This window comes from Homo sapiens, chromosome X, assembly GCF_000001405.40.
Source record: "Homo sapiens chromosome X, GRCh38.p14 Primary Assembly".
NCBI classification, from domain to species: domain Eukaryota; kingdom Metazoa; phylum Chordata; class Mammalia; order Primates; family Hominidae; genus Homo; species Homo sapiens.
In genome coordinates this window covers 40647983-40675564 of record NC_000023.11, presented here as the reverse complement: position 1 = coordinate 40675564, position 27582 = coordinate 40647983, and the positions used below count along the sequence as shown (strand labels likewise).

Here is a 27582-nt window from a genome sequence, read left to right as displayed (position 1 = left end):
TGACTTTTTTTAGATGCTGTTTTTGTTAACTGTTTTCCTCAGTTTCCCGCTTCAAAATTAACAATATTTCTTCTAGGTTGTCCTAGTAACGATCTTCAAGGATCAACATACTGTGTTTCTGTTTAAATATTCTAAATAATTTAAAATATTTTACTAATAATGTTAGGTAAAATAATCTAAATTTTACCTGTTTATATCCGTAGACGTTCCTGAATATGTTTGTTGACAGCAATCAGGATGCTCGAAGAAGGTCTGTAAATGAGGACGATAATCCCCCTTCTCCTATAGGAGGAGATATGATGGATTCTTTAATATCGCAGCTCCAGCCACCACCCCAGCAACAGGTAATATCTAGCCAGAATTCCAAGTGGTATCACATTTCTGTAACTTCACAGGTTCTATAGGTGTCAAGACTTCATTGAAAGACAAGGAGGTCCTTGGTGGGCCTGAGATGCCCAGGAAATACTTATGAAATAAAGAGTTACAGAAGGAGGCGAGGAGACTTCCAGTGACAAGAAATGAATAGTGTTGGAAACAGCATTAATCTCAGGTCATTCACACACTTAAAATGATGTTATATGATTCCAGAGATGGAAATACCATCCGCAGGATCTGAGATCTTTGAGAGAGTTTCCTTACCTTGTCTTGAAGGACAGATGCTATTAAAGTAGAGCACAGTAGACTAAATGTCTAGCGATGTTCAGTAGGGACTCCTACAGAGAACAGGTGGACAAATTTTCAGGGTTCTGTCCTCAAGACCATTTGGATAAGCCACATTATAGAACCATAAGAGCTTTCAGTTCTGTCCTGTCACCTTCACATGTCTGAGAGTTGAACAGGCCCCTAGGCTAGCCATTGTTCTCTCACTGACCCTCCTGAAATAGAAGGTGAACAGTGATTGTTTAGCCCTTCAACAGTCCTTTGTGACTCCCTAGTCTGGAAAATCCTCAATGGGGCTGTAGACTCTGGGCCGGAGTCTTCAGGGGCTTCATTTTTAGTTGTATATGAGCACACAGCCTGTAGGCAAGGCTCTTTGGCACATCCTTTAGTTTTGGTTTACGAAATAGCTCACTGCTTCTCATCCAGAAGCTTTCATGAATAACATTGCTTGAAACCAGCATTGTGCAGAGAATCCTCTTAGCTTATTTTATTGCTTAGCTTCTGGTCTGGCTACTTAGTGACTACAACTTTCCAGTGCTTAAATCTTTGAAAAAGTACTAGATTCTTACTAGAAGGAGGGTTTTGTGGAAGCTGTATTGTTCCTGGCAGCTATTTAGGGTTACTTGCCTTGTCACTGTTTCCCTTCTTGGCCTTCATGTAGAACAGGGAAGCTCAGTAAAGGCCTATGCGAATGTCTCTGTGTAGCCGAGGTGCGGGGCTCTTGTGACAGACATTGACTCAGATGAGATACTAGCCCTTTGAAGATGCTGGGCCACCATGGGAGAGAAGTACCTTGGCCCAGCGGATATCAGAGCAGCTTTTTTCTTGTGGAAGCCACTTTCTTGCATTTTCAATCTTTCCTGTACCTGATATGGAGCAGGGGATGAGCCACATCCTTTGGGGGAAAGAAGTAACTGAGTTGGGCTGGCTGATGACCATGGCCGTAGCAGGGCCAATGTTATAGGGGGAATGGAGGGAGAATGTGGTCCATTATTCTCTCCCTCTCCCAAAATAAGTTGTTCATTGGCCCCTCTATAATGATTTTTTTTTTTTTTTTTGAGATGGAGTTTCGCTCTTGTTGCCCAGGCTGGAGTGCAATGGCGTGATCTCAGCTCACCACAGCCTCCGCCTCCCAGGTTCAAGTGATTCTTCTGCCTCAGCCTCCTGAGTAGCTGGGACTACAGGCATGCATCACCATGCCTGGCTAATTTTGTATTTTTAGTAGAGAGGGGGTTTCTCCATGTTGGTCAGGCTGATCTCGAACTCCCGACCTCAGGTAATCTGCCCGCCTTGGCCTGCCAAAGTGCTTTTGTTACTGAAAAAAATCATAATTTGACACAGTGAGAGCCTGCAGCGCTAGTTTATTAGATATTCTGATTTGGCTAAGAGCAATATACACCCAGTAACATTTCATACTGAACATGAGATTTCTAAGTAGGAAAATAGTTGCAGGCTAAGGCAGAAGGATTAGAAGTGGGTAGATTGGCCAAAGGTTAGGATATTCTAGAAAAGTTAGAATGATTTGTCACTTTGGGAAAACTTGAGGAATTTTCTGCCTTTTCTTGCTCTCTATTCAACCTGTAGGTAGAGCTTTTTTGTTTGTTTGTTTTTAAGTTAAAAAGTTTGACACTTAATACCAAGTCAGAATCCTTTTAAAAGAATATTCATCTGCCATGGTTAAATGTCTTTAGTTGGTGGCTTTGGCTTTATGTACCTCCTAAAGATTGAGCCTTTGATTGAGCAGTTTCAGTTTTCAGTTTTTTTCTGTTTATCAGATATCTGTGCTATGCTTCTATTTGTAAACTATTTGTCTCCCTGATAAGACAGTTGTGAGAAAAAAATGTTCATAAAGGGATTCATGTACATTTTACTTGATGTTAGCAGGTAGCTTTTCTTCTTTTATATAAAATGCAGTTTTAGTGCATAAGCTAGTCTATGAGAAAGGAAAGGAAGAAAATAGAAAAGCTTATGAATATCATAGTTTTAATTAACAAGTTAGTATGGCTTACATCTCCAAACATAAAGGTACATTCTGCATTATTGGATAAAACAGTATGGGCAAATATATGATTTTGTACCTTATGAGTTAGCCTGAATTCTATAATTTCTTTAAGATAGCTTAGAAAGAATCAATAAAAAAAAAAAGTAGACAATCTGGTTTTAAAAGTAGGTAAAAGATTCAAGTCATTTCACATAATAGGATGTCCAAGTGGCCAATAAGCACCGAAAAGGTATTCAAACATTATTTGCCATCACAGAAATACAAATTAAAGCTACAATGAGATAACACTCCACACCCACAAAAATGGTTTTAAGAAAAAAATTGATAATTATTTCCAACATTTGATATTAGGAACAACTGAAACTCTCGTTTGCCACTAGAAAATATGTAAAATGTTACAACTACCTTGTGATAGTGATAAAGATGAGTAAAGGTCAGGCTGAGCTACCATATTTCATTGATACTAAATGCCACCAAATGTAAGATGCATCAGTTTTTATCTACCGCTCAGAAAGAAAAAACACTGCCAGTTAAACTAACATCCCATAAATGGAAAGACACACCCTGATTTTAGAGATATTAAAGTGTGGGGGGAAAATGTCTTAGAATCAATGAAATGGTAGATAAATAATAGAGATAAATCGGTTATATGCTAGATAGAAAATGAGCAAAAAACATCTTGAGGGATAGAAAGCATTGCAAGATCGGGAAAGAGGATGTTGCTATTTTAAAACATTTCGAAAGTCGGGGTTTATAAAGACTTGTGCTGGTGATGTGTATTTATTTTGCACACTTTTATATCTCATGTTTCCTATTTGGTAACCAGCAAAGTGTGTAAATATTAACACTGTAGCTATAATTAGTGAAAGCCACACTCTTATGCTCCGTGCGGTTGGCCATTTTACCAACATTTAATTTTCTTCTTTTCAGCCATTTCCAAAGCAGCCAGGAACATCAGGTGCTTATCCTCTTACTTCACCCCCTACATCTTATCATAGCACAGTCAATCAGTCTCCCTCAATGATGCACACACAGTCTCCAGGTAAGATATTACTTATTCTCTTGTCATGTTCAACTTTCAAATCCAAAATACACACACACACCCCACATTGAGAAGCACTGTGCATCTAGTCTCAGGCTTCAGAGAGAATTCCCTTTCTAGTCTATGGCTAGATAGTTGTCACTCATTTATTATGGAAGGTTTGTGAAATCTGTGTCCAGGCTTGGGAGCACTTTAAAAGGTTTAAATTAATGTCACCCAGAGCCAGACTCACAGCACAACTCCAGGGGGTGCTAATCACAACATGATCTATGTTACAGGTTGACAGACTCTAAGGCCTATGAGCCAAATCCTGCCTGTCACCTGTTTTTGTAAATAAAGTTTCATTGGAATGAAGCCACACTTGTTTATATAATGTCTATGGCTGCTTTCCCACTACGACAGCCCTTTACAGAAAAAGTTTGCTAAGCCACGGAATAGGTGAAGGGTGGCCTGCCCCCAAGCTCCAGAGTTAGGCAGTGCATAGTCTGCTTGTCCAGACATAATGGCTTTGTTGGCAGCCCTATGAAGTGCACCGTAAAAGTGCTTGAGAATGCCAAATTTTTGCTTTTAACTGAATGATTCAGTGGTATCTCTTGAGCACTTACTCTGTGCCAAATGCTGCCTGGTGCTGAAGATTTAGCAGTGAACCGGATACCAGCCCTGCTCTTGAGCTTATCATCTAGCGAGGAAGCTAGGTCATCAGATTTATTGGGGAGAATGACCCGTTGCCTACTAGGTCCTAGTAATATTTCCAGAGCATAATGATGTTTTTTTCAAAGAAAGTTTTAGCATAAAAGATGTGATATGTAATATAGGTTGTAAAATATAAGAAATTAAATGATTTTTAAAAGCATGTGTAATAAAACCTTTTATCTAGTGTAAATATATCAGTCCACTGAACTAAAGAATACATTAAGTAGTTTTGTACCAATTGAAGGCATTCGGGCTTATCAGAAAACAGGGCAAACAAAACTACGTTAATTTTTTAAGTAGCAAACCCAACAAATACATCTGCTTTTAAGTTTTCACTTTGAAAAGCAGAATTTGCAGTGCATACTGTTCTCCTTTATTTTTTTTATTTTTTTTTTTTTTTGAGACAGAGTCTCGCTCTGTCGCCCAGGCCGGACTGTGGACTGCAGTGGCGCAATCTCGGCTCACTGCAAGCTCCGCTTCCCGGGTTCACGCCATTCTCCTGCCTCAGCCTCCCGAGTAGCTGGGACTACAGGCGCCCGCTACCGCGCCCGGCTAATTTTTTGTATTTTTAGTAGAGACGGGGTTTCACCTTGTTAGCCAGGATGGTCTCGATCTCCTGACCTCATGATCCACCCGCCTCGGCCTCCCAAAGTGCTGGGATTACAGGCGTGAGCCACCGCGCCCGGCCTCTCCTTTATAAAATACAAAAATTCTTATAGATATGTATATGTGTGTCTATATATGAGAAATTTGTATTGACCAGAGAATCTGTTAATCTGCAGGTGGGAGATGTAGTGACATCACTTATTCAATAGCTAATTCCATTTGTAAAATGAGAATAATATAAAACCTTTTCCATAGAGATGTTGTGAGAATCGAATGAAATAGTTCACATAAAGTGTTTAGCCTGGGGCGTGGTACATGACAAATGCCTCTTTGACCAGTCCATTGTAATCTGTCTTGTTGCCCAGATTGGGCTGCTCGACATCCCACACTGCCTAGGCACTCACACCCTGGCAGATCCCACCCCCACCATGTCTCACACTTAGCCACTCATATTGCTCTTCACATTACTTCAGTGGTGTCGTTTTAAAAAAATAGATCCTCATTTTAAAAATCTTTAAATTCACTTTTATTTGGGGGGTGGGTTGTGCTTCCTCTGCTTAGATTCCTAGATAAACAGTCTTCATCTGTAATGCCAAGTATGATGAGTGTTACAAAAAGGGTCACTTGGGCTTCTGAAAGAGCATTCGATAAGGGGGGTTCGATTGTTTCTTTCTTGAGGATGCGTTGTTTGCCTCCCTCCTTTCGACACTGGTTAAGCTGAGACTTGAAAGGTCAAGAGTTACCCAGGTGCAGGGACATGGACAAGGAGGATATCTCAGGCAGACTGTGCAGGGTGTGTGGAGTCTGAACTTCCAGAAGATGGTAGACTCTTCCAAATGGCTGGTGTATGGAGAGACAGGGCGCTGTTAACAATTTTGGCCTTTATTGTATGGGTAAATAGGAAGCCATTGTTGGATTTTAGTCTGGGTTAAATTTGTACAACTGAAAGTGACGAGTGGTGGACGGGCAGATTTCACAGAGAAAGGAGGGGGGAGTTCTCTTGAACCTGTTGATTTTGCAAGTCCCCAGAGATTACTAAGTCAAGATGTCCAGTAGGCAGTTGGCTGTATGAGCCTATGGCTCATCAGAGATGGTTGGACCACAGATGAAGACTTGGAAGTTGTTGTTGTCATGTCTAGGGTCATTGAAGCCCAAGTGGGTGGTTGAGTCCACCCCTAGGAATACCAGTGGTCAGTGGGGAAGTAGCAGCTAGGGAGGAAGTAGACAAAACAGGAGAAACAGGATTGTAGAACCCCAGGGGAGTGTGTTTCTAGGATAGGAGTTGACATTGTTTTTATATAGTAGGAAGGGAAAAATATTTTGAAATAATTATAATAGTGGTAGACAAGCATATAGTGCTTACTATGTGCCAAGCCCTATTCTAAGCACTTTACCCGTTTAATCCTCACAGCAAACCTGTGGTGTAGGTCCTATTATTATTCACATTTTATGGAGGAAAACTGAGACATGGGGAAGTTAGGTCACTTGTCCAGATCATACAGCTAAATAAGTAAACATAAACACTTAAAGGTTAGTCAAGTTGATCAACATACTGATTGAAAGTAAGACAGTGCTTTAGGTATTACAGAACACAAAAATATGAAATTATCTCACATAGTACAGTCCCCCCTCTTATTGCTCTCCAAGGTTTTAGTTGGCCTGAGGTCAACTGAGGACCAAAAATGGGCAAGTATAGTACAATAAGATATTTAGAGACAGAGAGATACCATATTCACATAACTTTTATTACAATCTACTGCTAAGAGTGTTCTATTTTACTGTTAATGTTAATTTTTTACTGTGCTTAATTTGTGAATTAAACTTTATCATATATGTGTATAGGAAAAAAACAGGTTTCAATACTATCTGAGGTTTCAGGCATCCACTGGGGGTCTTGGAACCTATCCCCTGTGGATAAGGCGGGGACTGCTATAGTAGAGAATTTGAAACATGCTGATATTAAAGGTAATTATGATAATGTAGCAAGTGCTTAAATGTTGCATTTATTCATAGTTTTGGTAGCCATAGTTCACACTTTCATAATCCTAAATTAAAACTAGTCCTGTGCCTTTAAATAAGTTAACGTTTCACTGTTTTTTATATCTCCAATCTCAGTCTCTCCATAAGTCTAGTATTGTATTTTCTTTTTTCTTTGATTTTTTTTTTTTTTTTTTTTTTGGAGACAGAGTCTTGCTCTGTCGTACAGGCTGGAGTGCCATGGCGTGATCTCAGCTTGCTGCAACCTCCGCCTTCTGGGTTCAAGTGATTCTCCTGCCTCAGCCTCCTGAGTAGCTGGGATTACAGGCACATGCCACTGTGCCTGGCTAATGTTTGTATTTTTAGTAGAGACGGGGTTTTGCCATGTTGGCCAGGCTAGTCTCAAACTCCTGACCTCAGGTGAACCGCCCACTTCGCCCTCCCAAAGTGCTGGGATTACAGGCGTGAGCCACCACACCCAGCCTTAGTATTGTATTTTCTAGCTGTCTATTCGGCATCATTTCCATGTAATGTCTGGTAGATATCTGCAACTCAGCATGGCCAAAACTAAACTCTGGATCTCTTCACTGCCCCAGTGCTCCTCTTCCCACAGACACCCCAGCTCAGTAAATGGCAGGCCCTTCCTTCCTGCTACTTGGGCCGAAGCTCTTCGAGTCATGCTGGACGTCTCTTTCATACCCATGTTCGGTCATTTACCAAATACTATCAGCTTGATTTTCAGAATTTACCCAGAATCCAACCACTTTTCACTACCATAGTCTGTCACCTTTACCAAGCCACTAGTCCTCTCTCACCTGAATTATTGCAGTTGTTTCTAACTGGTTTTCCTGTCCCTACCCCTACCCTTGCTCTATAGTCTGTCCCACAGCAGCTAGAATGATCCTTCTGGGACAGAAGTTCGTCCATGATTTCCGCTCCAAACTCTGCATTGGATTCCCACTCATTCAGGGTAAACCCTAAGTTCTTAGAGTGGCCCACAAGTCCCCATGTGATCTGGGACCCACCCCTCTTCCTCCAACCTCTCTGGTGTCCTCTCTTCCCACTGCCCCCCTCGTTCACTCTGTTCTTGCCACACCGGCTTCCTCCCTGATAACTGCTTCCACCTTTGGGGCATTTGCACTAGCTCTCTGTTTGGCTGGAATATCTCATCCCCTGGGTATCCTCATGCCTTATCCTTCACTTTCTTCACGTCTCAGCTCACATGCCCCCTTCCTTAGAGAGGTCTTTTCTGATTGCTGTATATAAGGAACAACACCCACCTCCTTCACTACACAATCTTGTCCCCTTACCCTGTTGTGTTTTTTTCCATAGCACTTACCTGACAGATACTTGTCTTTCTCATTCTATTAGAATATAAGCTTTGTGAGGGCAGGAATTTTTGTCTCTTTTGTTAACTGCTGCATCCCCAATGCCTGAAACAGTGCTTGGCATGAAGTTGGCATTCAGGCCTTCTTGTTGAATGAATGAGGAACTGAATAAAAAGTACACCGGATTTTTTTTTTTAATCAGTCAATATAAGAGCTAGAATTTGGGCGCATGGAATTGAATAGTCTCTTTCAATAATGAAATCGTGCCAGTTTTTCTCTGTGTTATATATATGGGAGCTATACTACTTGTTTCTTTAATTTATAGGGAGATTTTTAACTTGGGGTCCTTGGACAGGACATAAAATGTGTCCTGCAAGATTATCTATAATTATTTTCCTTTATTAGGAAATCTGCATGCTGCCAGCTCCCCCAGTGGGGCTTTGAGAGCCCCATCACCAGCGTCATTTGTTCCAACTCCTCCCCCATCCTCGCATGGAATCTCAATAGGACCAGGGGCCAGTTTTGCTAGTCCACATGGTGAGTCCATACATGGAAATCGATATAGCATAAGAGCTTGATGTGAAAATAATTTTTGTTGAGTAAATTTTTTCATTGCAAAATTAATACTTGTTTATTGAGGAAGTAGCAAAAATATTGCTCAAGCAAAAAGAAAATCAAATTTATCTAATCCCACCACACAGAGGTAACGACCAGTGAGTTTGTCTCTGCCTTGGACTCTCCCTTGCTGTCTCCGTTGCTCTGCCTTGCCCTTCCTGTCACACATGCCCTGCTTGCCTGCCCTCTCACGTTTCTGTTATTCTCACTTGCTGTCTACCAAGCTGCTTGTCTCCCCCCTCAAATACCTGCCCTTGCCCCCCAACAATGGGTACCCTAACATATGAATTGTTTTGAGACTTGAATTTTTTAACTTTTGAACTCAAAATTTTATTTTGAATTGATTCAACTAGATAAAAAATAGAACAAGTAGTCAATGAAAGGTTTCCTTTTTATTCCACTAACCACCTAGTTCCTCTTCCCAGAAACATGTAGATATTCTTGCAGAGCTGTTTTATGCATACACAAGCAAATACATGCAAGTGTTCTTTCCCCTCTCCTTTACACACACAACAGCATACTTTACAGTGTTCAGTGCCTTTTTTCACTTAATATATCATGAGTATGATACCATAGAACATAAACAGGTTCCTCAGTTTTTAAGCTGTGTAGCATCTGGGATTTTAGTTTTTACTATTAATATTTGTGGGAACATTTCCGTCATTAAAAACTCCACATCATCATACCATATGGTGTAATAATATCCGCTTGTCTGGGCATACCATGACTTAACTGCTCTCCTATTGTTACATGTTTAGAATGTTTCCATTTTTTCACAATTAAAAATGGTGCCATCTGTGCTCATATCCATGATTATTTCCTTAAGTAAGTTCCAGAAGTGGAATTGTTGTATCAAGGGATTTGACAAATTCTAAAGCTTTCGAAACATATAACTGCTCATCTGAAAGGCTGTACCATTTCCCATGCCATCATACAAGAATGTCTGTTATCCTGCATCATCGCCAGGGAGTATTACATATTTTAAAGACCTTGGACATTTTCATAGGTGAAAAATGGTATCTTACTGTTTAATGTATTTCTTTATTAGTGAAGAAAATTGAACCTTTTTTGGTTGGTCTTTGGTTTTTTTGTTTTGTTTTGTTTTTTTTGAGACAGAGTCTCACTCTGTTACCCAGGCTGGAGTGCAGTGGTGCAGTCTCAGTGCACTGCAACCTCGGCTTCTCAAGTTCAAGTGATCCTCCTGCCTCAACCTCCTCCCCAGCAAAGTAGCTGGGACTACAGATGTGCACAACCACGCCTGGCTAGTTTTTGTATTTTTTTGTAGAGATGGGGTTTTGCCGTGTTGCCCAGGCTGGTCTCGAACTCCTGGACTCAAGCAATCCACCCACCTCAGCCTTCCAAAGTGCTGGGATTACAAGTGTGAGCCACCGTGCCTAGCCGGTCTTTGGTGTTTCTTATTTTATACCTCCCAGTTATATATGCTTTGCCTATGTTCTTGTGTTTTTTCTTGCCCATTTGTAAGACCTAAGTAAAGACCATTTACTCTCTGACATATACATGGTAAAAGTATTTTTTCAGTTTGTCATTTGGTTACAGAGGGATATAAATAATATGTTGAAGGTATCTGGAGGATGAAATTTATTTATTTTTTATTTTTGAATATCTTCGTAGATACCAATGGAGGGTGAAATTTAAATATCAAATTGTTCAGGAAGTCACTGCTTTCAAAACTTGAGTCTTGGTTCATTTCTTAGTCAACGTAGTCTAAATAAAGAATATGGAAAATTTCCTTCTCCTCATTCTACTTAGAGTAGAATGAAAATATGGTTTGTCAAAGTTGGTTTAAAAATATAATATTTCTGCCTTTAAAGGAACTCTGAGATTGTTTGCTTAATATTTTAATGCATATAGTAGCATACATTGTTACATATTACATACATTGAAGCTTGTGTGAAGGTAAATTTTATCCTCTCTCAAGCTTTATATTTTTCTAATTTTTGTATCATGTTAAAAAGTACCTTACACAAAATAGAGATTCAGGCATGACATGTTAACACACATCAAGCTTCAGTGAAACATCTTATTGGAAGAAAAAATAAAATTATTACTGTGTAAAGATTTGAATGCTGTCAAATAATTTTCAGTTATTAAAATATAGGTTTTGAGAATCATTTGTTTACCTTTTTTATAGGAACTCTTGACCCTAGTTCCCCATACACTATGGTGTCACCAAGTGGACGAGCAGGGAACTGGCCAGGATCTCCTCAAGTGTCTGGCCCCTCACCAGCAGCACGCATGCCTGGAATGTCACCAGCCAACCCCTCACTACATTCTCCGGTTCCAGATGCTTCTCATTCCCCTCGAGCTGGAACAAGTAAGTATCATCAACATTTTTATGTTCTTTTTTAGTATAACCCAAAGTGACCTATCTTGTTGCATCCTCACATTTGAAAGTCATGACCTACTTTTTGAGAGAGGATACTTAAAGGATATTACAAAGGATGCAGATGAAGAGATGCATAAGGGGAGTGCAGTTTCCATGCCCTCTGTGAGCCTTCACATGTTTGCCTATCTGGAAGTTCTCCAAACTCTGTCCTTTTGGGTTTTTATGGAAGTTTCATCACGTAGGCATTATTGATTAAATCACTGGCCACTGGTGATCAACTTTGGGGGTGGGGCTGAAACTACCAACCCTCTAATTGTGCCGTGTCTTTCCTGTGATCAGCCCCCTTCCTGAAGCTACCTAGGGGCTGCCAGCCATCAGCCATCTCATTAGCATACAAAAGGACACTTAACCACTTTGAAGAGTCCAAAAATTTTAGGATTTGTATGCCAGGAGCTAGGACAAAGACCAAATATATATTTCACAATATCACACATAATAACAGAGAAGAGAATTGTACACATTTATTGGTTAGCTTTTGCTACATTTAGTGGCTTAAAACAATATATGATTGTTATATATTGGTTCACAATTCTGCAGGTTGGCAGTTTAGACTAAGCACAGCTGAGTGATTCTTTCAGACTCTGCTGGGCAGCTCACTCATGTGTCTGTAGTCAGCTGCTGGGTTGGTTTGGGACTAGATGGCCTCAGATGGCAAGGTTTCTCTCTGCTTTGTGTGGTTTCACACTTGATCTGAGGTTTGTTCACATGGTGGCTCAACAGGATTTTAAGGCAGGGAGTAGAAGCTGAGGCCTACAACTAGCCCAGTGTCACTTCCACCACATTCTGTTGGTCAGAAGCAAATACTAGGCCAGCCAGGTTTCAGGTGGAGAAATAGAGTCCACCCCTTAAAGGAGTTGCTGCAAAGTCACATTGCAAGGGGCCTGGATATAAGAAGGAGAAAAATAGTGGCCATTTTTGCTAACAGGTTGTTAATATATGATTGTTACACCACAAGGAGTAACTAAAACAGTACAGAATGATTTAGAACATCAAAGATTTATGATGAAAGCAAAACAGGAAGCAATGAGATAGTATGTATTTGTAAATGACATAACATGTTTTCCTTCCCAAAAGGTTCTCAAACAATGCCAACAAACATGCCTCCACCTCGTAAACTACCTCAGCGCTCTTGGGCGGCATCCATACCTACCATCCTCACTCACAGTGCCTTGAACATTTTACTGCTGCCCTCTCCAACTCCAGGCCTTGTGCCCGGCCTGGCAGGTAGTTACCTTTGTTCTCCACTTGAGAGATTCCTTGGATCAGTCATCATGAGACGACATCTTCAAAGAATTATTCAACAAGAAACGGTATGGGTACCTAATGACCTTCTAAGTGGTGATTGTTAAGGGTAAAATGCTAAATTGTCCTGCAGGATAGGATCTGAACTAACGTGACATTCCTTCACCTTCCCTCCTTTAACAAGCTTGTTAGAATTATGATTTTCACCCTAACCTGGCATTAAAAATGGACTCCATTATTTTCTTTTCCATTCTTATGTTAACATATTTCTGCATTATACAGTTTGCTGTGCTGTGGCTTCTATGTTATATGGCTAACATGGACCTGGAGATAGATTTCTGCAGCACACAGGAGCACTGCGCACAGGATCTGGCCTTGCAGAGAATAGCATACCAGTAATTATTTGCCTTCTGGAGTGCCCGTGCGGGGAGGCTGATTTTGACTCTGAGTCTTTATTGAAATAAAATAATTGGCTGGGTGTGGTGGCTTATACCTGTAATCCCAGCACTTTGGAAGGCTGAGGCAGGAGGATCACTGAGCCCAAGAGTTCCAGACCACCCTAGGCAATATAGCAAGACCCTCTCTCTACAAAAAATTTAAAAAATTAGCAGGCATGCACCTGTAGTCCTAGCTACTTGGGAGGTTGAGGCAGGAGGATTGCTTGAGACCAGGAGTTCCAGGTTACAGTGAGCTGTGATCATGCTGCTGCACTCTGTCCTGGGTGATCGAGTGAGACCCTGTCTCTAAAAAAATAAAAAGAGAAAAAAAATTTGAAGAAAATTATTTATGGTTACAAGGACAAAAGCTTCTTTTTAAATATGTGAACAGGACGGGCACGGTGGCTCACGCCTATAATCCCAGCACTTTGAGAGGCTGAGGTGGGCAGATCTCTTGAGGTCAGGAGTTCAAGACCAGCCTGGGCAACATGATGAAACCCCGTCGTCTACTAAAAAATACAAAAATTAGCCAGGCATGGTGGTGCGCACCTATAATCCCAGCTATATGGGAGGTTGAGGCAGGAGAATTGCTTGAACCTGGGAGGCAGAGGTTGCAGTGAGCCAAGATCGCGCCACTGCACTCCAGCCTGGGCAACAGAGTGAGACTGTGTTTCATAAATAAATAAATAAATGAACAATTGAATTTTTAAAAACTCTCGTAGAAAAAAGACTTCTAAAAAAAAAAGAAGAAAAGAGACTTCTAACTTATCCTATGCTGATAGCCTTAGGAGATAATTTATAATTGAGAGCACCAGTTCTACAGTCAGGCTGCCTGGGTTTGTAGCCAGCCATACTACCTGCTAATGTGTGCTTAGGCAAATTTCTTCAGATAATAGTATTTACCTAACTGATAACAGTTGTGTGAATTTGAGATAGTTCATGTAAAGCCCTTAATATACTGTCTAGGCATTTTCATTATTTATAATTACTGTTATTATTGGTAGATGCATGTGCTAATGAGGTAGTCAAAATGGTGAATGTTTAGGCCGGGCACAGTGGCTCATGCCTGTAATCCCAGCACTTTGGGAGACTGAGGCGGGCGGATCACTTGAGGTCAGGAGTTTGAGACCAGCCTGGCCAACATGGCGACACCCTATCTCTACTGAAAATACAAGGCCAGGCGTGGTGGCTCATGCCTGTAATCCCAGTACTTTGGGAGGCTGAGGCAGGCGGATCACTTGAGCCCAGGAGTTCGAGACCAGCCTGGCCAACATGGTGAAACCCCATCTCTACTGGAAACACAAAAATTAGCTGGGTGTGATGGTGCACGCCTGTAATCCCAGCTACTTAGGTGGCTGAAGCATGAGAATCATTTGAACCCGGGAGGCAGAGGTTGCAGTGAGCCGAGATCGTGCCACTGCACTCCAGCCTGAGCAGACAGAGCGAGACTCTCAAAACAAACAAAAAACAAAAATTATCTGGGTGTGGTGGCACATGCCTGTAATTCCAGCTACTCGGGAGACTGAGGCAGGAGAATCGCTTGAACCTGGGAGGTAGAGGTTGCAGTGAGCCGAGATGGTGACACTGCACTCCAGCCTGGGCAACAGAGCGAGACTCCGTCTCAAAAAATAAAAAAAGAATTAAAAATGGTGAATGTTTAAAATATTCACTCCATGTTTAGTGTAAAGCCATTTTGCAACCTTCATACTAAGATTTGGTGGGGAAACGTTTTTGAATAAATTAGCATTCAAAAGAAAGAAAAATAATAAAATAAACTAAAATTAGCACTCAAAATGGTAATCATCAGACCCGGGATCTAGCCTCAGCTATGCCACTTACCATCTATGTAAGCTTTCAGCTCTTTGGCCTCATTTTGCTCAGCTGCATAATCAACATACTCTGCTAAAACGGGTCAGTAAACTACGGCCCCTGGTGCTATGTCCTTACCACCTGTTTTTGTAAATAAAGTTTTATTGGAACACAGCCACACCTGTTCATTTATTTATTGTCTATAGCTGCTTTCAGCTGTGATGACAACATTGAATAATTGTGACAGAGACCATATAGTGCATAAAACCTGCAACTTTTTCTATATAACACTTTACAGAAAAAGTTTGTCGACCCCCGGGGCTAGAATAAGAGCCTAATCCAGATCTAACCTTTTGTAATTGTACTCTGTCTTCTTTTTTTCTAATGTGCCACTTTAAAAAAAGATATTGTGGAAAATGTTCAGCATATACAGAAGTAGAATGGTATAATGAACTTCTGTACTCTCATCACCCACCTCCAACAGTTAACTAATATCAGTATTGTTTCATCTAGAACTCCTCCCCCCAGATTTTCACAGCAAATCTCAGACATAATTTCTTGCATAAAAATTTTTGCATATGTCTCTAAAAAGTATAGACTCTTAAAACAAAACAAAACAAAAAACACAACCTGCACCATTCTCATACCTAAAAAAAATAATTTCTGTATCACATATCTAGTTGATACCCAGATTTCCCAGGTTGTCTCATTTTTTACACTTTGAATCAGAACCGAAATAAGTTTTTCTAAGTCCCCTTACAACTTTTGGTTCCCCCATCTAGTTCTCCTTCTTCATCCTTATGCAATTCGGAATCACTTAGTATTTTTTTGATCCCTATGTTTTCTATCACATTGGTCAGTCCTCTGGATCAAACTACTGCATGAATTCAGGCTCAAGTTTTTTTATGTTGTTTTGCAAGAATACTTCATAGGTAGAGTTATGTTCTTCCATCAAGAGGCACATAATGTCTGATCGCATCTCTTTTTGCAGTGTTGCCAGCAGCTGATGCTCAATGCTGTAGGTGCCTTTGTTTTGGAATAGGTATCAACTTAGTGGTTTTCCTTTTGGAACAATTCTCAGTAACATCTTCATTTTCTCTTTGACTTACATGTTAATTTGATGTGTCCTTGTTTTGTAGCTGCAGCTGATAAATTCTAATGAACCCGGAGTGATCATGTTTAAGACTGATGCACTGAAATGCAGAGTAGCTCTTAGTCCCAAAACCAACCAAACGCTTCAGCTAAAAGTGACACCTGAAAATGCAGGACAGTGGAAACCTGATGAACTTCAAGTTTTGGAGAAATTCTTTGAAACAAGAGTATGTGTTTAATAGTGCATAATTTGAATATAATTAATGAAACAGAAGCATTAATGTAGAATGAAGAGTAACTTGCTTTATTTATCCCTGTAGGTTGCAGGACCACCATTTAAAGCTAATACGTTAATAGCCTTCACCAAGCTATTAGGAGCTCCTACACACATCCTCAGGGATTGTGTGCACATTATGAAGCTGGAGCTGGTAAGTCACAGAGATATACATTTCTAGCAAGGTTTGTTTGAGGAGGTTAGAGTTGGTGGGAGCAGTGTTTATTGGTTTTCACCCATCTATGTAGTTTCTTCTATTTTTCTCTTAAATTCTTAATTTTTAACTTAAATTTTATTTATCTTTGAATAGGTAACACAATTCTGTTTTATCTTTTGAATTTAAAACAAGATAATATAGTGAGAAATTTCCCATCAGTTCCTGTCTAGCTATCCCTGTCCCCTCTATCCCTGTCCAACTGTCTTCTGGCCAACCAGAGTTACCATGGCTTGCCTCTCCTTCCAGAGATGGTCCATTCATAAAAGCAAATAACATTGCTCTCATAAACTTTTGATTGATTGAGACACGGTCTCACTCCGATACCCAGGCTGGAGTGCAGTGATGAGATCTCAGTTCACTGCACCCTCGACCTCTGGGGCTCAGGTGATTCTCCCACCTCAGCCTCCTGAGTAGTTGGGACTACAGGTGCACGCCACCGCGCCTGGCTTTTTTTTTTTTTTTTTTTTTTTTTTTTGGTAGAGACGGAGTTTCACCGTGTTGCTCAGGCTGGTCTCAGACTTCAGGTCTCAAGTGATCCACCCACCTTGGCCTCCCAAAGTGCTGGGATTACAGGTGTGAGCCACTGTGCGTGGCCTTCTTATAAATATTTTAAATGAAATGATATTTACACATCCTGTTTTGTACTTTTTTCCATTTTTATTATGAGATGGTTTATGTATAAATTTATAACATATAATTTTTAAAAATCTGACTCCTCAGCTTTGTTGGTCCTAGACTTTGTGTCCTGAATAGCTATTAAAACTGAAGTGCAGGCCGGGTGCGGTGGCTCATACCTGTAATCCTAGTACTTTGGGGGGCTGAGGCAGGCAGATTGCCTGAGCTCAGGAGCTCGAGACCAGCCTGGGCAATGTGGTGAAACCCTGTCTCTACTAAAAATACTAAAAAATTAGCTAGGCATGGCGGCACAGCCTGTAGTCCCAGCTACTCGGGAGGCTGAGGCAGAAAAATCGCTTGAACCCGGGAGGCGGAGGTTGCAGTGAGCCGAGATCATGCCACTGCACTCCAGCTTGGGTGATGGAGTGAGACTGTCTCACACACACACAAAAAAAGGCCGTGCACGGTGGCTCACACCTGTAATCCTAGCACTTTGGAAGGCTGAGGCGGGCCGATTGCCTGAGCTCAGGAGTTCCAGACCAGCTTGGGCAACATGGTGAAACCTCGTCTCTACTAAAAATACAAAAAAATTAGCCAGGCATGGTGGCACATGCCTGTAGTCCCAACTACTTGGGAGGCTGAGGCAGGAGAACTGCTTGAACCCAGGAGGCAGAGGTTGCAGTGAGCCGAGATCATGCCACTGCACTCCAACCTGGACGACCGAGTGAGACTACATCTCCAAAAAAATCAATCAGTCAGTCAATCTGAAGTGCAAAGTAAGAGACAGCAAGATGCTCCGTGGGCAGCAGCTGCCTTCAGAGCACTGAATATCTGTTCTTGGTTTGTTGTTGGCCCTTGGGGGATTTCCCTTAGTTTCTGCATAGCTCAGTCTGCATTCGTGTTCGTTTTTTAGGGCTGCCACAACAAATTATGGCAAGCTGAGTGGCTTAAAACAATAGGAGTTTATTCTCTCACGGTTCTGGAGACCAGAAATCCTAAATCAAGGGGTCAGTGGGGCCATGCTCTCTGAAGACCCTAGGGTTGAATCTATTCCATGCGTTTCTCTTAGCTTCAGGTGGTTCCAGCGGTCTTTGGTATTCCTTAGCTACTGCAACCTCTGCCTCTGTCGTCACATGGTGTTCTCTCTGTGTGTGTCTCTGCCTGTGTCTCTTCTCTTCTTATAAAGGACAACAGTCATATTGGATTAGGGACCATTCTAATGACCTCCTCTTAATTTGATTACGTCTCCAAAGACCTGGTTTTCAGATAAGATCATATTCATGGGTGCTGGGGGTTAGGACTTCATGTCTTCTTCAGGTGCGCAATTCAATGCATAATAGCATTTAAAAAGATGGCTTTTGGCTGGGCATGGGGGCTCATGCCTGTAATCCCAGCACTTTAGGAGGCCAAGGCAGGTGGATCACGTGAGGTTGGGAGTTTGAGACCATCCTGGCCAACATGGTGAAACTCCATCTCTACTAAAAATACAAAGAATTAGCCAGGTGTGGTGATGGGCACCTGTAATCCCAGCTGCACAGGAGGCTGAGGCAGGAGAATCGCTCGAACCCAGAAGGCAAAGGCTGCAGTGAGCCGAGATCACACCATTGCACTCCAGCCTGGCTGACAGAGCAAGACTCCGTCTCAAAAAATAAAAAATAAAAAGATGCCTTTCCACCCCCAGTATTTTTAGTGTTTGTGGTGGATGTGATTTCCAGGATATCTAACCTGGCATATTGCTCGAAATGGAGGAGCATCTTGCTTTATTCACTGAACAAATCTTGGAGATGTTTCCATATAAGTATATAAAGGATGTCTTTGTTTTGTGTTGTTTAACAAAGCTTAGTATTTCATTAGATGAATGTATTAAAATTGCTGAGTAGTCCCAACTTGTTGGCCATTTTGGTTTCTTCTGATATTTTGCTGTTACAAACAGTGCCACAATAAAGAGCCTTTTTATGGATGTGCCAGTATACCTGTAGAATTGCTGGGTCGGAGGATATATGTAATTGTAATTTTGGTAGATTTTGCCAAATTGTTCTCCATAGAGGTTATGCCAGTTTATATTCCCACCAGCAATGAGAGTACTGGCTTTTTCCCACATCCTTGTCAACAGTTTTATCAGCGTTTAGACTTTGGGTCTTTCTAATTTGTAGATTTTTAGGTCTTTTGATTTGTAGGAATTGGGTATGTACATTAGCGAAGTTAGCCCCTTGGGATATTCATTGTAAATATTTTTTCCGCGTTTTTCATTTGTGTTTTGACTTGACTTTTGGTAGGTTTAGCTATGCAAAATTTTCTTTTAAATAGTGAAATGTATCAATATTGGTTTTTAAGTTTTCCTGATTTTGTATCATTGTTAGATTCTTCTCACTCCCAGATTTTGAAATAATCCTCCCAAAGTTTTTTTTCTAATACCATTTGGATTCCTTTTTTTAATTATTTAAAATTTTAAATATATTTTTATTTATTTATTTTGAGACAGGGTCTCACTTTGTTTTGGTGTCAAATATGAGGAGGTATGGATCCAACTTTTTCAGATGCTCATTTATCATATAATCAATCTTCTCTGTATGGGGAGATATATACTGTGAAAGTATGTAGTTATATAGATGGAATCCAGATGGCAGCTGATGTATTTTTTTCAGTCTTACGGTGATCTTTTCATTTTAATGTTTCTAGTGTTGATTTGAGTAACTTCAATTACCTCACTCTTTTTTTAGTTAGCGTTTTACTATAAATATTGGGGCAACAGTGTTCTTTTGCTAATAGTCTCAACATTTGGCTTCTGATCTAATAGGCTGTAGGAAACATTATTTATGTCAAAAAGAAATCCATTTGAATTTTTAAAGGAGTAAATATTTATGTGGCTAAAAAAGCACCAATGGATATAATTTAAAAATCTTTCACACAGTTTGACTAGTTTGTTTAGGCAAAGAGTTGGAAACAGGACTGGGAAGTCTAGATTGGCACAGTTAAGAAGGGCCTTGAATGCTAGGTGTTGGTCCTCAGTTGTGGGTGGTAGGGGGATAGCATGTGTCACTAAATGTCACTGAACATTTGTGAGCTTGACTGGAACCATGTTGTAGGACCTATATCTGATGGTGGTATGAGGATGGACTGGAAGAGGCAGCCACTGGAAAGAGCTGTTAGGGGAGCACAGGAGAAGTAATAAAGCCCTGCACATGGTGGCCTCAATGAATATAGAGAGGAGGGAACAGATGTCAGAGACCCTGCAGAAGCCGAATCCATAGGCCTTAGGAATTAACGAAGTGGGAGGGAAGGAAGGGGAAAATCTTACATAAGTCCACAGTTGACTTTTCAGTTAGCAACTTCATGTATGTATTTGTTTTGAAAAAGTGCAGTTATTAACTTTATGTTCTGTTAATAATTGGGTATGAAACAAAATTCTAACCTCTCAGACTTTCCTACCTAGAATATGATTTTAAATGTTTATATGCCTTTATCTTGATTTTTCCCCCTCAAAATAGTTCCCTGACCAAGCAACACAGCTAAAATGGAATGTTCAGTTTTGCCTGACGATCCCTCCCAGCGCGCCGCCGATTGCACCTCCTGGGACGCCTGCTGTGGTGCTGAAATCCAAAATGCTATTTTTTGTAAGTACCACCCAGCATGTGTGCATGTACAGAGCTTCTGAGGGAAATGCCACATGATAATAGAGCAACTTTTGGATAACTGCATAAATTATCTCTTGTTGCCAAATAGAGGCCAGGATTCCTTAATTGTCAGCGTAGATGTCATGACATCCTGGTTCCTTTAGTAATAAAACAGAAATTTATTGAACCAGGTAATTGTGTAGCACAGTTGCATCTTAACCATAATATTCAGTTGTTTGTCACTTTTCTTGTCATGTGTAATTTTCTTTTGCTTGCTTATCTTAATCTGAAAGTACAGTAAATGATAGTACCTTTGATACATTTAGACAGATGTTTTATGATGTTTTTATTCTCTTTGTGTGTGTTGTGTGTATACAGCTTCAACTAACTCAGAAAACATCGGTCCCTCCCCAAGAACCTGTTAGTATTATAGTTCCAATCATTTATGACATGGCTTCAGGTACAACCCAGCAGGCAGACATTCCCAGACAGCAGAACTCTTCTGTTGCTGCTCCCATGATGGTCAGCAACATTCTGAAGAGGTTTGCAGAGATGAATCCACCACGACAAGGTACATGACCAGTAGACAATATTTTATTGCATATATGTTATAAAAGTTCTTTTGAGAGACACCCCTTTCTCCTCTTCTCTTCTCCCTCCTTACCTACTCTACCACCCAATCATAGCAATAGAGGTCTGGTTGCCGTGGCCCTCTTAATGTCTGCCTGTCGCTTTCTTCCTTTCTCACTGGTTCTTCATTTTTGTCCATTTCTCTGCTGCCTGGACTTTTTGTTAGTGATTTACTATTGGGACTGACCCAGTTGCTAATGCCAGAAGCTTGTATTTATAGCACACATTGCCACAAAGACCTAGGTTAGGATGATAGAATTTTCCACGGCTGTGAATTCCTGCCCTACCATCAATACCTGCCACTCTGTACATCACAAAGTTGAAATGCATGTTGGTTTCTCATATTTCATGGTTCAATCACGAATAGAAGAATATTATTAAAAGTTCTGTATCTTCTAAATGTTTTGTGAAGAATAAAAGCTGATACAAATGGCATTACTGCTTTTTTGGGCTTCTTATATAAGTGTCAGGTGGGTGCAAGTGAACCTTTTCACCATGTGCACAATGAAGCTCTCAAACTGAACATTTCCGAGGAAACCAGAATGTTTCTGGAAAGATAAACAAGGTCCCTGCAATACTGGAGTAGACTTCACTTAACACGTAACTCCTGGCAGTGCTAAATTTGGGGTTGCAAAATACAAAGCTCAGCAAAGAGAACTTTTCTTCCATTTTGCTCATTTCTAATATTAAGGAAATTTAAAATTTGCTTATTTCTAATATTAAGGAAGTTCTCTGTATCTCTCTCTGTTTAGAATAGTTAAATAACAATTATGTTTTTAAATGAGGGAAAGTTGTTCTCTGAAACATTTTTAGGTACTACAGTGTCCAAAGTTTTCTAGAACTAGGAATCAGGAGAGAAATGATATATTTAGCTATTTGTTTCCCCACATTGGATATGCAGGCGAGTTCTCACTTTAATGTATAAGGAATACACTGGGCAGTAGAGAAGGGTGTGCTTCTTTTGTTGTAATACTTCTTCTACTTCTTACAATTTTCTGCTTTCATCCTTTGACTTCTCTCTTCTTTCAGCTAAAAATAGGTCCTCAAGAATCAAAGTTTAAAGCTATCAGAATTCTCAAAGTAACAGTCCAGTAGAACCTTGATAATAAACACCATTCCTTCACAAGCAGATGGCTGTCATTATCTTATGTGTTTTTATGTATTATGTCTTGTGGAATTTAAAATTAAAAGGAAAATGTTTTGATCCTATTGGGATCAAGCAAGTTTTCTTGCCTATCAATAATGAAAATGTGTTTTTTAAAAAACAATACTTCTCCTTTTCAGAAATTGTTGAGATATTTTGGAAGTGTTTTCATTTTTTTCCCCCCTTGGACTGGGCAGACCTTTGGATTTCCTTTTTCTTTCTGTACCTTCTCATGTGCACAGGATCACTGCACATCCTGCCCTTTGCTGAAAGGCCATGGTTCACATGAGGTCTTCAGTTCTCCCACTTTCAGCCACTGTATACAGTGTTAGACCATGCTGTAGAGGAAGGGATCCAGCTTTTGGTTTATAATATTTAAATACTTGTAATAATTACAAGAAGCAGAGTATTTGGTTTCTTTGAGCAAAGGAGAAGTTGACAGGATGAATCGCCAGCACCCTCCCCACCCACAAATCCTGTTTTTGGATTGTTGGTGTACCATACTTCAGTCTCCCACCCCACCTCCCACACCCATCACTTCTCTTCTGATGAAGTGCTTTTAAGAAAATCATTTTTGTATTTAATTGATTTTAATGTTGAACTCTGGAAGTTGACCATTTCCTTGAATTTTGGGAGAAAACTCCAATAGATGTCAGAGACATGCACTGTCCAGTATAACTGCCACTAGCCAGCATGTGGCTATTTAAATTTAAGTTAATGAAAATTAAATAAAACTTTAAATTCAGTTCCTCAGTCACACTAGCTATATTACAAGTGCTTAATAGCCATGGCACACTTATACAACATTTCCATCATCACAAAAAGTTCTATTGGACAGCGCTGTCCTAAACATTTTTATCTGGCCTTTAATGCAACGTTTGAAAGATACCACCAAAGTTGTAACTAATGCATAAATATAAACTAGATGTTTTTATGATATCCAAAATGCCCTTATAAGCACTCAGTAGCCTTAAAGCCCAACTTCAAAGGCTTATCTAATGCTACAGTGTTTCTAAACAGAAACTCTAGACATATCTTCCTAAATACAAACCTAACTGGGACTTGCTTGAAGTTTCCTCCTGAGAAAAAAAATCCAAACCAAATATAATCTGATACTTAACACCACAGCTTAATCCCCAATAATCTGGGCAGTTAAAATTGTCTTTTATTTTGATCTTTAAAGTTCTCACTAATTTTAGATTTAATTACCCCTTCCCTTACCGGTGTGTTAACATCTTTCCTGTGTTGTGAATAGCTAATGACCATTTTTCTCTGTTGCAGGTGAATGCACAATATTTGCAGCTGTTCGTGATTTAATGGCTAATCTTACACTGCCCCCTGGTGGGCGTCCATAGACACTATTGTTTTTAAACCAGGAAGGCTGACAGATGAGACAACAAAAAAAATCTGAATTCAGCCTTCAGTTTAAAAAAGGAAAAGGACTTTTTTTTTAAACTTTAAGAGCTAAATATTCTAAACTGGCAAAAATTTTCAGGGTGCACTTCTTTCATCAAAATGATCATCCATCTTTTGTATAATGAACTTGTATAGTGTGTTTAAATGGGACACATTTCAAAGGAAATAAATCAGTGTCCGTTTGCCAGTAATAAATTTAATATTCTGTTTTATACTATAAAGTTATGAAAATGCCAAACTTGTTTATTTAATTGTTTTCTTATGTTTTGGGTGTAATAGTCCTTTTTTGGTTTTTGTTTTGTTTTTTAAGGCAGGTCTGTCATTTTTGAATACTGTAAAACTGTGATAAACTTTATATTGAAGCTGTATTTTAATATGACCGCTTTGAATCCTTACATGAAATGTTCTGGGAGTTGTTATAAACACACCCCAAGGAAGCAATATTTAATAAAACTAGGTCAAAAACAAAACAAAACAGTGACACTCACTTGTGTGTATATAAACTCTAGAGACATCTTAGGCCCTCCCTTCATCTTTAACCTGGTGGATGGAGCCAGTTATTAATTTATAATAATACATGTCTGAAATTTGACCAAAAACATCTTCTTTATGTCAAGGTTAATATATTTTCTTCAGACATTCCTAACTTGACTAGTGGTTAACATTTAGCACCTTGGTTGTCTTTCAATATATAGGATTTGGGTGAAAAATAAGGAACTTAGTCTTTGAGAAGGGACAGTATGTGGTTCGTATTGATCAAGGATCCCAAATAATGCAATCATTCTCATCTGTTGAGGATGTGGGAACTTTTCTGTCAGGAAAATTTAGTTTACAGAATACTTCTGCATACAACATTAATTAGGAAACAAAGAACTTTAATGCTGTACCTCTGCATGAAGTTTCTGTGAGCTTTCTTTATCTTGCTTAACTTATCCTCCTTTCCTTCCCCACCAAAATTGGGATTGTTCTAAACAATTTCAATTTAATTCATTGTCAACAAAACGATAGAATGTTTTGCTTGGAAGAAACCTGGTCCATTCCCCTCATTGTGAAGAATCCCGAATCCTGGGCCTGTCCAGGGTCAAATGGAGTTTTTGGTATTAATACATCTCTGCAGGGTTTCTTTTTGGAGCACTGTGCTGTCTTTCCTAGTCAGTCAGGGACTTTTTTAAGCTTCAAAGAACATGGTCTGATGCAAAGGTCTTCTACCGACTTCATGGTATTTAGGAAAAATTTTTAAGTGATAATACCATGCCGAGTTACCTGGTCACTGTAATACTGGTTCTCCATTAAAATGTAGATGCTTTGTCTAATTCCACTTCAAGATGATTTAATTGAGCTTCTATAACTATCAACTATCAAATTCTAGTTTCAAGTATCTCACTGTACCTATATCATATCTGTTCTCAACTTTGTTTGATTCTCCACTCATTTTCAATCAGAGTTGAAGCCTTCTTTGCCTTTCTTCTTTGTCTTATTTCTGCCTTCATCTCCCACTTCTCACCCAACTCTGCCACTGTTCAGGAGCAGTTGACTAAACTTTTATCCTTCCTTTAACTTAATCTTTTTATCCTTCTGTTTTTAGTTCTTACAGTGGTAATCACATCAGTTTGGCAATCTAAGATGTCTTTATCAAGGGTCAGCCCTTTTCTATTTGGAGCTGAATCTTTTCTTTCATGTAGAAATCTACATGTATATACAAGAAATGTATTTTTATCTGCAGGATAATATTGTTTCAAATAATTTTATTAAGAGTTAACTTTTTAGGTATTTTCCCTTTTAATGTGGTTTTGAAATGTTAATTGCATTTTTACACATGATGCATTCAGTGGACACTCTTTTTTCCTAATTATAACTCATCTCTGAATGCATTGTGCCAATCAAGAGTAAGATAGGATTCAGTGCGCAAAATTTGCTTTTGATGCTTATTAAGAGTAAACCCATGAATTTGAATTTTTATATTATGCTTGGTACTTGGAATTGATATATACCTTATTAAAGCTTGAAAACATTTAGCATTTGAATAGTAAGTTTCATCACAAATCATGTCTTTTGCCTCTTTTGTTACCCAGGTTCGATCAAGGGGACTGGATGCCCAAGTGATTTTCTCTAATAATCGGGTTGGGACTTAACTTTAAGGTGTTTTCAATGTGATTTTAGTATTTACAGTAATAAATAAAATTTATACAAAGTTTCAGAGAACTACCAACTCTCTAGTTAATTTTGATGAAGATGTTTTCATTAATAGTCTGGTTTAGTATTAATTTAACCTTGAAATAAGAAATTGGTCCTGATTTGCCACCTTCATTTTTCCATCTGCTGAAATGCCATTTCAGAATGTATAAAAGTACTTTCAGAATTAGAAGAAAAGTGAGAGCTTCAGCAGAACGTGTCAAGTCGCTAATAACAGGAGTCGAACCTTATGTTTGAAAATTAACTGAGTGAGTTAAGTGCAAGCATAAACTAAAATTTATATGACTTTGAATTTAAGAACCACTAATAACTGTGTTCTAATTAACACAGTAATCTGTTCAGCCAAAGGATACTAACAGCCATTCTTTGGACTGTGGTTAATTTGATAACTTCAAGAAGTTATAACTTTGCTACCCTGGATTCTGATGCAATTTCAATATAAAAAGTTGTTCCTTTCATAGTTTTTCCCCCCAAAAGAAGTGCCTATTACATTTTACCTTAATGTTTATTTATCATCCAAGTGTTCTTGATATAAAATCAGTATACAGAAAATTTTAAGAGAACTTACATTCAAGGGACATAGAGGGAAAATGTTAATGTGTATTTCATTGTTTCTTGTGGAATTTTTTTTTCATTCGGTTTGAGAATGGACAGTGTGTCTAAGGATGTGATTTAAATTTACTTAGGATGGATTTAGCATTGAGGTTATTAAGACAAAGTTAGCAGAGGCCAGCCAGCACTGTGCTGCACAACTCCAGGAACTCCATGGTATGCTCACAATTTTCTGCAAGTTGCCTCCACTTCCAAGTGGCCAGTGATTTGTTAAAATACCTTGCCCAAGAATATAACTGATTGATGAAAGGGCATATTTAGGTCAATATAAAATAATAGCAAGTATTTACTGAGAGCTTACTGTGTGCTAGGCATTTTCTTAATATTTCAATGTGTATTTAATCCTCACAACAACCCAATGTGGTAGGTTATTGATATCCTCTTCTTAAAAATGAGTAAATGGAGGCCCAGAGAAATGTAATTTGCCTGAGATCAAATTAAGGTTGCTTAAGATCAAACTGCTAAGAAGGGGCAGTTTGAGTCTGAGCTAGTGCTCCTAAACACTGGACATTTTTGCTGTGAACCACAGTCGGGAAGGTTTAATGTTTAGACTCTTTCCTCAGAGGCTTTTAACTACACACAATTTTGACATGTTTTCCAAGCTCAGAAAGCTCATTAAAAACAACTAAAACTGACCTGACTTGTCACTTGGAGTTGACAATCCCAGTGCCTTCTGACCTTTGTGGCACTTCTTTGGAACTTAAATCAGACTTCCATGTGCAAGGAGCACTAATTATCATATAATCAAGAATACTAGATAATTATCGTCTAACCTTTGCTAGGTGCTTCAGGATGCCCTTATCTGGCTCAGGTGTGCAGCCTTCTAGAATCCAAGTGATGTGTTGCCCTAAACAGGCAAACGCCCCCTTCTGGGTGGTCCAGTGGCGGGGGATTTTGAGTTTTGGGTTAGCTTGGCACACCGCAGGCAGCCAGCGGTCACGTTTCACTAATACCTCA

The 27582-nt window shown here is 39.6% G+C and overlaps 1 protein-coding gene across 9 annotated transcripts in view; it reads left to right on the top strand.

Annotated features, from left to right (window-relative positions):
* MED14 (mediator complex subunit 14) overlaps window positions 1-27260 on the top strand; it is an 87855-nt gene extending 60595 nt beyond the window's left edge. For 3 of the 9 annotated variants that reach the window (XM_047442636.1, XM_047442643.1, NM_004229.4), the window contains 10 exons: window positions 204-344; window positions 3593-3704; window positions 8714-8845; window positions 11076-11258; window positions 12405-12640; window positions 15958-16137; window positions 16231-16338; window positions 20505-20630; window positions 21009-21201; window positions 23686-27260. In XM_047442636.1, coding sequence (XP_047298592.1) covers window positions 204-344; window positions 3593-3704; window positions 8714-8845; window positions 11076-11258; window positions 12405-12640; window positions 15958-16137; window positions 16231-16338; window positions 20505-20630; window positions 21009-21201; window positions 23686-23759 — 1485 coding nt within the window. In that variant the 3' untranslated portion in view covers window positions 23760-27260. The remainder of the gene's footprint in view (window positions 1-203; window positions 345-3592; window positions 3705-8713; window positions 8846-11075; window positions 11259-12404; window positions 12641-15957; window positions 16138-16230; window positions 16339-20504; window positions 20631-21008; window positions 21202-23685) is intronic. The other 6 variants (XM_047442637.1, XM_047442639.1, XM_047442638.1 and 3 more) reach the window with 3 other exon arrangements.